Source organism: Homo sapiens, chromosome 6, assembly GCF_000001405.40.
Source record: "Homo sapiens chromosome 6, GRCh38.p14 Primary Assembly".
NCBI lineage: Eukaryota > Metazoa > Chordata > Mammalia > Primates > Hominidae > Homo > Homo sapiens.
In genome coordinates this window covers 138,507,277-138,521,348 of record NC_000006.12, presented here as the reverse complement: position 1 = coordinate 138,521,348, position 14,072 = coordinate 138,507,277, and the positions used below count along the sequence as shown (strand labels likewise).

At 40.2% G+C, this 14,072-nt stretch overlaps 1 protein-coding gene across 20 annotated transcripts in view, besides 1 other annotated feature; it reads left to right on the top strand.

Moving 5' to 3' along the window:
- NHSL1 (NHS like 1) overlaps nucleotides 1-14,072 on the top strand; it is a 271,170-nt gene that overhangs the window by 171,864 nt on the left and 85,234 nt on the right. For 2 of the 20 annotated variants that reach the window (XM_011535973.3, XM_011535969.3), the window contains exon 1: nucleotides 8,854-9,070. The exons of the other annotated variants lie outside the window; for them this stretch is intronic. In XM_011535973.3, the coding sequence (XP_011534275.1) occupies nucleotides 9,010-9,070 (61 nt within the window). In that variant the 5' untranslated portion in view covers nucleotides 8,854-9,009. Of the gene's footprint in view, nucleotides 1-8,853; nucleotides 9,071-14,072 lie in introns of those variants that run through there. 20 annotated transcript variants of the gene reach the window in all.
- Nucleotides 3,164-3,333: an enhancer, noted in NCBI's record as "experimental_90625 CRE fragment used in MPRA reporter constructs". NCBI's record gives its function as "activates a minimal promoter by MPRAs in K562 erythroleukemia cells, with activity observed for the non-introgressed 6:138839238 variant allele {active_cell/tissue: K562}" and the evidence as "EXISTENCE:reporter gene assay evidence [ECO:0000049][PMID:34662402]".

Here is a 14,072-nt window from a genome sequence, read left to right as displayed (position 1 = left end):
GACCACAGGTGTGCACAATCAGTCCCAGTGAATTTTTTTATTTTTATTTTTGTAGAGATGGGGGTCTCACTATGTTGCCCAGGCTGGTCTTGAACTTCTGGGATTACAGATGTGAGCCACCACGCCTGGCCTGGGGGAGGCTTTTAAAGACAAAAAGGAAAAGTCCACCTAAGCTGTTTTGAAACGAATACTATTGGTTACAGGGACTTGTTGTAGATGTTGGCATTAGCTAATTGGTGGAGACAATCACACCTGATAGGTGTGCACTTGTGCAGAAAGTTTATCTGGAATACTGTGGTTTTGAGGAATCCCTTGCATAGCTCCCATTATAGGCATACCTGTATGAGGGCCCCACCTTCATGGTCTCTCGGCTTCAGTTTTTTGGGTTTGACATTAGTGGCTCCATTTTGATACTGATAACTTTCACACTGATCTACCTCCAAATTATATCCAATCCACCCATTTGTCTCATTTCTAACAGGGGTTCAAGCCACCATATTTCTTTCCTAGTTGATCACAGTAGCTTCCTACTTTTACTTGTCCATGCACAATCTGTTCTCCACACAGTGGCCAAAGAGATCTGGTTGAAGCCCATGTGTTTGTCACAAAAAGTAGAAATCAGTTGTTCTTTCAGGCTCTGTCATAGGCAGTATCTGTGGTAAAATATTTGGAAAATATTTCTGAGAAATATTCTCATTTTTACCAGCAGAGGGAGATTAACTTGGTCAAGGTTATATACAAGTGTAAAAAGAATTAAACTGCTGGGCGCAGTGGCTCACGTCTGTAATCTCAGCACTTTGGGAGGCCGAGGAGGGCAGATTGCCTGAGGTCAGGAGTTTAAGACCAGCCTGGCCAACATGGTGAAACCCCATCTCTACTAAAAATACAAAAATTAGCTGGGTGTGGTGGCACATGCCTGTAGTCCCAGCTACTTGGAAGGTGGAGGGCAGGAGAATTGCTTGAACCCGGGAGGCAGAGGTTGCAGTGAGCCAAGATCGCACCACTGCACTCCAGCCTGGTGACAGAGCGGGACTCCATCTCAAAAAAAAAAAAAAAAAAAAAAAAAAAGAATTAAACTAGGCAGCGTATTCCAGCACTCAGTGTTGGGAGAACTGTGTCCAATTTTGAAATTTTATTGGTTAGTTATTGATATTTATTTTGGTATGATTTTATATGCCAAGACTGTGTAGATTTATATTTTATTCTTTTAAAACAATCTGTTTTGCCTTATTATGTTATTATTGTTATTATTCTTTGTCACTAACCTTAAAGAACACATAACAATTGGATTTGGGCAATAATGAATTGTATACTGAATGCCAACGGTTATGGGAAAAACCCTGTATTCCCCTTGTTTCAGAAAGGATTGAAGGCAGCTGGGAAAGTATAAAACGTGAAAAAGGTTGAGAGGGAGTAGGAAAATTTTTGATCAACTAGTCTTCATCTTTATCAACTTTTTAAGGGATGGCTCTCAAATATGTATTTTTAAAACAAAGAGTATTTCAGTAATATAAATATGGAACAAACAGTTGCCAATCAACTCTATCTGAATACTGAAATGGAGGGAATGGGAAATACTGCCCATGTAAGTGTTCTAGATCTTTCTCCAGCTACCTTGCTAGAGATGCCTAAGTATGTGTGAAGATGTATCCTTTCTGAAGTGCAAGAAGAAACTAGCACCAGACAGCAACCTGCAGACACTGTGCTTGTTTGTAAAAATTTTTCACAAGATTTTCCCACTCCTCTGTTGATTTTCTCACAGGGTTGATGTATCATGGACAATGGGAAAAAAATCTTGTGCAAATGTCATTCCAGCCTTGCATATTAAATTATTCATGTATTGTGATGGTAGCAAATTACTTTCTTCATCTAAGATATTTCTCTGGTTTAAAAAAAAAGACAAGAATGTTAATATTTAATGCTTTTATTACAATATTTGGGTGTTTATGAAGAAGTAAATATTTTTGAGTTATGAGAGACATAAAAATTCCATTTGTTTTTGATAACACATTTTTTTAAGGTCATTGCTTTATCAAAAGGAAAATTGGGTGACAGAGCAGATTTTTTTTTGAAGATTCACTTTCTTTTAAATTTCTACTACTAAATTATGCTTTGAAAAAAATACTATTGAAGTTGTTAGTTGTTACTATACACATGGTAAGGCTTTTTTTTTTCTGTGTCATTCAGAGGAGGCTTATTTACGCAGTGGTGCTCAGAAAAGTTATATTTTCCCATTAGATGGTTAGCTGTGGAGTGTTTTATTCTAAAGTGGCATTTTATTATGTATGTATGTATGTATTTATTTATTTATTTATTTATTCATTTATTTTTGAGACAGTGTCTTGCTCTGTCACCCAGGCTGGAGCGCAGTGGTGCGATCTTGGCTCACTGCATCCTCCGCCTCCCCGGTTCAAGTGATTCTCCTGCCTCAGCCTCCCGAGTAGCTGGGATTACAGGCATGCACCACCACACCCAGCTAATTTTTGTGTTTTTGGTAGAGACGGGGTTTCACCACGTTGGCCAGGCTGGTCTTGAACTCCTGACCTCAGGCGATCTGCTGGCCTTGGCCTCCTAAAGTGCTGGGATTACAGGCGTGAGCTACTGCGCCTGGCCTTCAGTGGCATTCTAGAATGTTCTATTGAAGTTACTATGTCAGTGCTTGGATTTCTTACTGTCTTCCCCATTAGAACGTAGTATGTAGTGAAGAATTAAAGCCAAACATAAACATTTCTAGTTTTGTTTTTGTTTTTTTCCAACTTTAATTATATAGGCTAGCTGGAAGAGTGAGTTAATTTAACTTGTTAATTTCTGAAGTGAGATTGCAACAACCCATGAAATGCTCTGGGTTTTTCTAAAAAAAAAAAAAAAAAAATCATTCCTGTGGACGTTCTACCCTCACTTCTATTATTTTTCTTATATAATGTGAATTTGTGCATCTCTTGAAAAAAAAAAAAACCTGCTGTAATTTTTTAAAGCTCTCCAGAAAGAGAGTCCATGGAAAGAAACCAAACCTGGACTGTGTTGAGTTGATAGACTTAGCAGGTGACACTGTTAAATGCTACTGGGTGAATTCTTGTGGGCCACTGATACAATTTGAGTCAAAGAGTTCTCTGACACTCTTCAGTTTCTGATTCAGGAAGTTCAGATGTATTAATAAATAACTGTATTTCTGGATTTGAAGCAAAACTGAAATAAGAGACCACAAATCTCAGGTGACTTTGGAACCTATATTAGTAATTGTTCTTACTGAAGAACTTGTCCAGAAATCTTGCAGCAGTTTCTCACTCCAGTCCTGTCCCACTCCCTACTGCCCCTCCCCACCATCTGACCTGACTTCCTCCCCTAACCAGCCACAGAACTAACAACGTTCGCTTCCCAGACTCCCTTGCAGCTACAGTACAGGTATGTGACCTAGGCTGTGCCACCCTGACCCACTCATTGGATGTGGATGACAAACTGAGGGATGTTAGGCAGTAGCTGAGTAGGTTGTCTGGATCTACTGGCAAGCCCAGCAGCACTGACCTGCTCTGGGAGCTGCTTCAGTGGCTCCACAAGTGTAGGCATCCACACTTGCGCATGCTCTGTGATGACCAGCAGGTGGCAACAGCAGCAGTGTTTCACTGTTACAGTCCTGGCTGATTGGCAGGTAAACTTATCCTCTGGCCCTCCTGGAGATTCTGAGAACTCCTTAATATCTCTTAATAAATAGGATTTGCTTAATTAATATGATGAAACTGGATTCTATTGTTTGCCTCTAAGTGCTCAGACATTGCTTTCATATCTGCTTTAACAAGGCACTGGCTGTCTTGTTTCAGTAATCTGATGTTCTTTCCCTAAATACTGATAGTGGTTAGATCTTACATGTTCTTTATCAGAATGTATGTGATACTTCAGAACTGTATATAACTAAAATTGGGGAAAACTCAGCATTTAAAAAATGAATACAGAGAAAGCTTTTTATGTCATTGTTACTTTCCATTCATGGGCTTTAATCATGACCATCCAGTTTCTGCAAACCCTACTTGTAGAAAAAAATCAGTCTGACAATGCAGGCAATAATCAGGAACTGAAATATTCATCCAGAATTCTCCAACAACATGAAATCAGAGAGTCTGGTGAGAACAGAGGCTAAGTAGAGTCAGAATGTGACAGTATCCTACCTCCTGGACTGTTGGTGTCGTCTTGGACTAGGTAACACACTTAAGAGAGGCAGAAAGTGTTATGATACAGCCAAAGAGTAGGCATGGGGGAAATCATTGTGCAGAAGATAGACTGTTTACTTCCATCCCTTTCTCATCAACATTATAGTTCACCTTGGATTTAAACATTTTGTCTATTTTTAAAATTTAGTTTTCTATGTCTCTAACGTTTTTCTAAAACACAGAAGACTATTTTGCATGGAAACTTTCATGTTGCCTGGATGCAGTGGCTCGCGCCTGTAATCCCAGCACTTTGGGAGGCTGAGGCACGAGGATTGCTTGAGCTCAGGAGTTTGAGACCACCCTGGGCAACATGGTGAAACCCTGTCTCTAAAAAAAATACAAAGATTAACCGGGCATGGTGGCATGCACTTGTAGTCCCAACTACTTGGGAGGTTGAGGTGGGAGGATGACTTGAGCCCAGGAGGTAGGGGTTGCAATGAGCCAAGATCACACCACTGCACTCCAGCCTGGTCAAGAGAGCTAGACCTTGTCTCAAACAAACAAAAACACGAATTGCCTATTTTCCCAAATTAACAACAACAACAACAACAACAACAAAACAACTTTGATGTTCAACCATTGCTAACTGAGAGTTCTAAGGTCTTTGGCTTGACACCAGTGATGACTTAACTTTTCTAGCCATATCTCCCACAGCCATTGCCACAAACCCCACTTTGTCATCCCAGCAGGCCAGCAGATGGTCTCAGGCACGTTCAGTTGCAGACAACATTGTAAGCAGACGGGGATTTAAAATAGAGTATATGGTATCTACATGATCATTGGAAAAACCTTTAGGAATAGGCCCAAGCTGAACACCCAGGCATAGCTCTCTCAGCTGGCCAAAGGAGCTGTTATCTCTGCCGCAGTCAAAGCTGGCACCCAGGTTTTGACTCCACGCCCACACTCCCTCAGCTGTGTACCTTACCAGCAAAATGATCACTACATGCCTTGCTTCCCACCTCCATGAAAGTAGGGATGGCACACTGAGACTTCAGTTACCTCAACAGTCAGACTTAGCAGCAGAAACAGCCGAAGCCGCAGGAGCATGGAAATGAGGACTTGTATCATCAGTCATGTGCATCTGCTTTGCAAATGCTAGGCCGGCTGCTGAGGCCCCTGTGTCAAAGAGTCTGGGAAATGTGGTTTCCAACTCCCAGCCTCTCATTGTGGTGCACTGGACAAGGAGGTGACTTGCCTGGGACTGTGAGAGACGGCGTGCGCCTTCATGACACACACACTCAGTATTCCCAACTCCAGACGATTCACTGTCTTCTTTATGCCCTCTTGTTGAGTTGGAATGTGTTTCATATCTGTTTTCCTCTAGCAAACGTTTACCTACCCATCCAGGCCTAGCTCACATGTCACCTGCTACGTCAAGTTTTCCCCGATACTATTAACTTCCAGCCGTTAGAGTTATGCACTTCCTAATTTAAAATGTACCTTATTCCCATTTTATTGAATTCTGTCTTCTTCCGTCCAATAGAATGCCTGATGGACAAGAAATAGATAGTTTATTTCTTTATTGCATCATTTGATCAACTAACTTACTGGCATCTCCAAAGCCAATATGGCCCAGTTCCTGTCCTCCAGGAGCACAGCTCCTAGCAGGGAAGACAAATGAGCACAATTATGGAGCGGATAAGCCATAAATAAGTGAAAAATCCACCCTCCTGGGGAGAGGATGCGAAAGACTAAAAAGTCAGAGAAGGCTTCATAAGAGAAAGTTGTCTTTGTTTTGATGTCTCTGGTGCCTAGAGTATTGTTTGGTGTGTTGAGTCCTTAATGAATGAGATGAGGCTGAAGATGAATGAACTGATTTCTGTGAATGAACTTTTGTCTCCAGTTAAAAGCTCCCTGCCAATCTTAGTGGCTGCAGATATTTTACAGCGGTCTCCTGTTAGCCTCAGTTTTTGCTTCTCGTGGTTTCAGTTACCCATGGTCAACTGAGATCTGAAAATATTAAGTAGAAAATTTTAGAAATAATAATACATAAGTTTTGAATTGTGTGCTGTTCTGAGAAGTGTGGTGAACTCTCTCACCCTCCTGCCCCATCCTGCCCAGGATGTGGTCAGCTGATCCACACTGTAGACACTGCCTGCCCGTCAGTCACAGTTATCAGATCTGTCGTGGTATCTCATCATGTAGACACTTTTTTTTTTTAATCTTACGTCCTCAGAAGAAGGGTGAATTCAGTACAATAAGATTTTTGTTGTTGTTGCTGTGTGAGACAGGGTCTTGTGTTGTCGCCCAGGCTGGAATGCCGTGGTGTGACCACAGCTCACTGCAGCCTCGAACTTCTGGGCTCAAGCTATCCTCCCACTTCAGCCTCCCGAGTAGCTGGAACCACAGGTGTGAGCCACTACATCTGGCTGATTTGTATTTTTTATTTTTTGTAGAGACAGAGTCTCCCTATGTTCCCCAGGCTGGTCTTGAACTCCTAGGCTCAAGCCATCCACCTGCCTCGGCCTCCTAAAGTGCTGAGATTGCAGGAGTGAGCCACCATGCCTGGCCACAATAAGATATTTTGAGAGAGAGAAAAAGAGAGAGGGAGACCACATCCACATAACTTTTACTATAGTATACTGTTGTCATTGTTCTGTTTTATTATTGTTAATCTCTTACTGTGCCTAATTTATAAATGAAACTTTATCGTGGATATGTATGTGTAGGAATAAATGTAGCATATGTAGGGTTTGGTACCATCTGTGGTTTTAGGCATCCACTGGAAGTCTTAGAGTGTATTCCTTGTGGATAAGGGAGAACTACTGTATTTTTTTTAACATCCTAAGAATAAAGTTTGTTTTGTTTGTTTGTTTGTTTGTTTGTTTTGAGATGGAGTCTTGCTCTGTCACCCAGGCTGGAGTGCAGTGGCGTGATCTCGGCTCACTGCAACCCCCTCCTCCCGGGTTCAAGCAATTCTTCTGCCTCAGCCTCCTGAGTACCTGGCACTACAGGTGCTCACCACCACGCCCGGCTAATTTTTGTTATTTTTAGTAGAGACAGGGTTTCACCATGTCGGTCAGGCTGGTCTCGAACTCCTGACCTCAGGTGATCCGCCCGCCTTGGCCTCCCAAAGTGCTGAGATTACAGGCGTGAGCCACCACGCCTGGCCAAGAATAAAGTCTTTAGAGTTGGTAATGTAAACTATTTCTTTTCCTGCTGTATTAAATTCATTCATTTAATAAAATAATATGAATTGCATGCCCACAGTGTATCAAACCTGGCACTGGGCACCTTGTTGCTGTAGGTTCAGTGAGCCATGGCCTCTGTATCATGGTCCAGATCATGTGTTTAGTGGGAGATTAAACAAATTAGTCATTGAACAAATCACTACAAGTAGTAGTGATATAGAAGAAAAGTATAGGTTTCGATGAAAGTGAACAATGGGAGGTCTAAATAGAGTCCAATTCAGACCTTGAAGAAATGGCAAATTAATCTGAGACCCGAAGGATGATGGGAAGAGAGTGGGTAAAAGGCCAATCCACTGGCCCTCTGTCTCTTTACACAGCAACTAAGATAACTCTTGCTTCTTCCTTTACCCACCAGCCCCTGTAATCATTTGATTGCCAAAATATCTGGTATTCAAGAAAATAAAATCCAATTTCAACACACAGGGAAACTTTTCAAAAAGTTACTCATCCCAGCTACTTGGGAGGCCGAAGCAGGGGAGGATTGCTTGAGCACAGGAGTTGGAGACTGTGGTGAACTGGGATCTGCACTCTAGCCTGGGTGACAGAGTGAGTCCCTGTCTCTGGAAAAAGAAAAAAAAAAGTTACTTACATTCATGAATAAATGTTAGGTTTATTCATAAATGTGTGGACATTTTTGTTTAGTATTTGCAAGGCGTTTCTTAAGGAAAATTTTCATAAAGGTTAGAAAATTATGGCACTATGTGACAAGAATGCTTTAAAGTTCGCCAGGCTCTTTTCCTTCCCAACCCATTTCTATGAATGTTACCTGTTGTCCCATTGTATCCATTTTCACAACAGCTGGTTTTGCATGGCACCGAGGTTGGCACTGTGCAAAGTGAAGGGCATGGAGTTGGCTCTGGCCCTCCAGGAGCTTCCAGAAATATCAGAGGGGGTGTCTGCCATGTGTAGAACACATAGCACATCAAGTACGAATTTTAAATGAACATGTTAGTTTAGGTCTGGGTAACTGATGGCAGAGCACGAACAGATTGAGGGTAGGTGCATTTTATTAGGAAACCAGGAGGAAGAAACACATTAGTTGTGGAGAAGGGAGGTAACACCGGGGAAAACCCCATCTAGACAGGGCAGGCTGAGGGGAATTAGCGATTCCTCCTTTGATCACTGTGGGAATCTTCTGAAACCTTTCTCTCGCCATGTGCATAGACCTGAGAAGAATTTGCAGGCAAGGGCTGAAAGCGGTCGTCTGCCCCAAGACTTCTTAATGATCCCCTTTGCCACTGTGATGTTTTTAGGACATTCTACACATTTTGTTTCTCTCTGAATGAAGCATTCACGTTGCCATTGAACACATCTAGTTTGGGGTGCATTCTAAGTCGAATTATACAAGAAGCTATTTGTGGCATTCAGCAGCTGCAGAAAGAAGAGGCTGGGTTTTTTTTTTTTTTTCTTTTTTGGTGTCGGGGGATGTTAAAAACAATTCAAGTAAAGCTAGAAAGTTCAGAATATAGAGTTATCCTGTTGACGAGCAGTTAGAATTGTATTAACGAAGAAGAAGAGGGAGGTTACTGAGCAAAGAAGTGAATTTTATCCTATTTTAACATGGGACATCGTGCCGGAACGAGTTCTCCATAGATGCTCTGGGATTTATTTTGATAATGAATGTAATATATTGTCTGGAGTCTGTGACCGATTCCTCTTTCCCGTGGGGTGCAGTTGGTGAGTATCTCTCTTCAGAAAGCAGTTGTAATAAGATAATTAAATTTGTCTGATTAAAAATGATTGTGCATAAACATTAAGCATGGGAAAGTGCAGGTATTTTAAAACTGCCCTCAGCAGCCTAAATGTATACTTAATTAAATATGGTTTGCTAATGAGAATTGATTGTGGCAGCTTTATTTAAACTTGTTTTATCACATAATGATTTATATGCATTGCAGCACACAAAGAGATAGGTGTTTCAGATGAGGTGATACAAGTGGATCCATCTGACTCTTCTGAGAGCTGCTATGCAATTTTCGAGAAGTTTGGAAAAACTGCTTGGCATTGGAAGACCCTGTTTATTTTCTCCCTCAGATATCTTACTTTTCAAGACAGGATCTCGCTCTATTGCCCAGGCTGGAGTGCGGTGGAGCAATCTCGGCTCACTGCAACCTTGGCTTCCTAGGCAGCTAGGATTACAGGCAGGCGTGTGCCACTGTGCTCTGCTAATTTTTGTATTTTTTGTAGAGACGGGTTTTTGCCATGTTGCCCAGGCTGGTCTTGAACTACTGGGCTCAAGTGATCTGCCCATCTTGGCTTTCTAAAGTGCTGTTATTACAGGCGTCAGCCACTTTGCCTGGCCTATTATTTTTCTTTTCCTAGTTCCAGGAAGACATCGATGTCTTCATTGTTGGTCAAATTCTTATAGTGGCTGGGCGTGGTGGCTCATGCCTGTAATCCCAGCACTTTGGGAGGCTGTGGTGGGCAGATCACTTGAGCCCAGGGGTTGGAGACCAGCATGGGCAACATTGGGAGACCCCATAGACCTACTTTCTTCAAAACACACTCACACACACATACACACTCTCTCTCACACACACACATACACACACACACTCTCTCTCTCTCTCTCAGTGGTTTTTTGTCTACCTCACCTTTTTTCTTTAGTAAAAAACAAACTTTGGGCCAAATTATGAAATCTCCATACCTGCCTTTACAATGCCAAGCTTCAGTTTTGGCTGCAAGTTAAAAATATTGTTAGGTACACGAGGAAGCCTGCTGATCTTACTTAGTCCTTCCAAATATGATTTTATTTGCTAAGATATGAAGAATGCCATTGTTATTTTTCTGCTTTCTGTTCCAAGCCTCCATGATGCTGATGAAGAAGAGCTAAGCGTATCATTTTTACAAAGTCAGTGCCATTACCTAGAATTAGCATTATCGTTTCGCTTCCTGGTTGATTTTTTTCTCAGATTCTGTGTGGGCCAAATTATGTGGGATCTGCAATCAATGCACCTTCCTTCCCTTCCATCTGTGCCCAATTGTATTGCCCTCTAATAACAGGGAATACCCAGAAGCCTGGAGGTACTTCTGTGGCATCAAGTCAGAAATCTACATTGTGACATTCTTGCTTTAGAAATACCAGGGTACTAGAATTTAGAGATACTAAACAATATGTCTCCATACAATGATTGATGTTTTTGTTCTTGTCCCTTGCCTTTATTTGATGTTTACTTATTAAAAATGGTCTTTTCAATATGAATTGAAAGAAAAATCAGTGAACGAATATGAAAAATTGAGGTTATAGGAAGGTTTTTATTTACTTAAAAAGTCTTTGGCTAACTGACATTAATGGAAGTTCTGTACTTTCTAGGTGAATTCAAATATCATCTTAGGTCAGGCTGAGCTTCTTTGCTCTTATGCCTCACTTCTGCCATTAATTCTAAAACCCTTGTAGCACTCATGCTTCATAAGAACCTGTGATTTTGCTGTTTGGAGAATTTTGCTGCTGTGTATTCTGTAGTTTAGGACAATGAAAAAAATGTTTTGAAAAGATCCAACACTAATCAAATAAAATATTATCCTCATTTAGGTTAACCTTTACCATTACTAGAAAACCAAGTACAGCTGGAGACTTAACTATAGGTCTTGCTGTTCGTTCATCAGCAAACCAAAATGGTCTAATTTGTCTCATTAGCATTTTGCATGTGAACCAGCTGTCCTCTTAACAAAAGCAGTTGAGCACACCAGCCGATTAATTGTAGCATTCATCTTAACCATATGTGAAACAATATTAGAAATCACAGGAAACTGAGAAAAGAAAAACTGAACAGCCAGTTAATCTTCAGAACACAAGTTCACAGCGATTGTTTCATGGCTTACTAAATAATTAACTCTATCCTTTTTCTCTAAATCTTTATACTTATTGATTATTAATTGGGAAGAAGTTAGACAGTGATAAATCTGATTTGCCTTCAGTCATTTTAGGTTGTATTTTGTATTCTTGGACAGAGTGATTTCAGAATCTTCATCAGTCCAAATGAAAACACTTTTGGACTCCTTTGTGTAAGGCTTTACCTTTTGGTTATAAATTGATGTAAATTTTTTTCTTAGCTCTGTTATTCAGTTAAACACAGCTGCCCCCTTATTGATTTAGAAATGTTTTGTATAACTCAGGGGTACTTCCTTAATGTGGGCTTGGTTGCAGACACTAGGTGGTTTATGAATATTCACAAATCTTTTTGAAGGTGTGATGTCAATGTTGTCCGAATTGAGGCTCAAAAGGGCACAGGGATCATAGAATATGTCTTTCTCTGGTGAAGGAAGACAAGGATATTCTTTTGAGACTTGACCATGAATGAGAGCATGTTGTCTTCTGTAAATGACAGCTGAGGGAATCATTTTCATGCACCAGTGTGTCGTTGAGTGTCATGGTGTCCCCTGTAGGTGGCGACCTTCTACTTTATTTTGTCAGTTTCTCCTGGTAGTCTTTATTAGGAAGTCTTCCTTTGCTCTCATTTTTTTCTACGTTAAAAAATCCCTTTCGAGTATAGATTCTTTGTAGGTTTTACCACACCATCAATCAAACAGGTTCTTGATATTATCCAATTTTAAAAATACGAGGGAGCTCAGAGTATAAAGCACTTAGCTAATCACAATTCTTTTAAATTAGATCTCTAGGATCATCATAGTATACTTTGACTTTTCATTCCACAATGAGATTTTCTTCCCTGAAGATTTTAGAAGAAAGGTTGCATCAATTTTTTTCTATAAAATTTCGATTCATTGTTTGAATTATTGTTATTGTAAATGTATGATTATGTTAAGTATAAATAGCACAGGAAATAAATTTTAATTTCTAAGTGATTGAAAAGTATTCTCTAAGATGTTCTAGATCCTTTATAGGCATTCAGAAAATGTGTTTTGAATGACTGAATTGGGAAAGGCCAAGTGAGTTAACTTTACAGTTGAGTTCATCAATATGTAGCTCTACTTATATACATTATTTCTCTCCTGAAATGAGCCTTTATATACCTAGTATAGCCTTTGAGAATGAATTCGATGAATTTGTATTACTTGGGTAGATGGATTAGGGCTGTATAACATGTCACAAAGAATAATTGGTTCAAGTATAAGAGGTTACAGTTAATGAAATTATTTTTTTTCTGCAAGAAAGGCATAGCTCACTTTGGGGGAAGTTATCCTTGAAATAAAGTGACATATTTTTGAAATAGAGTGACAGTCTGTCAAGGAATGCTTCTTAAGAAAGGTTAACATTTGAATTATAACTTGAAAAATGAATAGAGGTATGCCAAGTGGGTAAGCGGAGGATCAAGCATCCGAGGCAGATTAATAGCATGTGCAAAGGCATAGAGGTGGAAAGAGTGTGGACAGTGGGATCCCTCACCTCACTGGCCCTTACTGAAGGCAGCAAGTAGCACATGGAATTGAAAACTGGACCACAAGATGGGGTATCAGTACAGATGCTGGGTGGCCCTGTGATCACTGCAGGTCACTTATTTGTAAAATTGTCTTAAATGTTCCTTATGACTTTCTTCAGCTCTAACTTTCTAGGGGCCTATGAAATCTCCCTTTTTTGATTTGCCTGTGCTATTTCCATACTCACCAATAATTCCAACATCAGCACCCATCCCTTTCACAAAGCTCTACCATGTTAGCCCGACCTCATTTCTAACATCTCAGGACAGTCTCTGGATGATCCCAGCCATGCACTAGAGCGACTTTGCAGCCTTCCATTCCTGCAGGCGTGGTTGAACTTTGAATGCTGTGTCAGCAGGGCTCCCTTTGTGTTTTGGACTTTTGATTTGGGTTTCTTTTTTTCATAGCATGTTTTCTGTCTGCCTCGCCTTTCGTTTGTTCAACATTTGTCACATGAATATTGTGGCTTGGCTAAACCAGTCACAGTGATAGCAGATGTTTAGAAATTGACCAAGCCGATGGCAGCAATGATATTGGATTAAATTATTAACTAGGATCTACAGCAGAAGCCTTTAGCTTCAGCACATGCAGAGTAAAGGGTGTTTCCTAGCATCAAAATTAACTGGCAAAGTGGATGCCAGATCAAGTTTCTTCTAAAGAATTGATACATTATCATCTCCTAAGGTTCCCCTTTCTGTCCCCAACCACTCCCCCAACCCCATAATTGATGAAGAGAGAGATTTCCATTTGTCTTTTTTTCAGTATGTCATATGTTTCATCATTAAAGATTAATTCAGAAACAGAAGAAAGAAAAGGTCATTGTACCCATGAGATTCTAGAATATTGGTGATTTTTAACATGCTTTTGTGAAATAACATTCGTGGGACAGTTAAAATAACTCTTCATGAGTATCTGTTATCAGATTCCTGTTTTCATTCTGTGGACAGTATCTCTGCATTACCTTTTAAATGTGTATGTGTTTCTGTTTACCTCATTATGCAACTGTAAAAATTGAGAGCATAAGTGTAAGATCACACCCAGTGTCTATTCAATTTTTTCCACTTATCTGTAAAAGACTTTATAGCTTGTTTATCCAAAACTAGCATCCCATCCAGAATCATGTTGTGATGTTCTTTAAATCTCTTCTAATCTGGCACATTCCCATTATTATTAGTAGTAGTAGTGTTAATTATTTGATAAGTTATTGGAGAGGCCAGATCAGCATAATGTCCCACTTTAAGTTAAGACTGATTGCTTTTGCTTTTTCTTCCAGCTCTTTTATTTCCTATAACCTGGGATA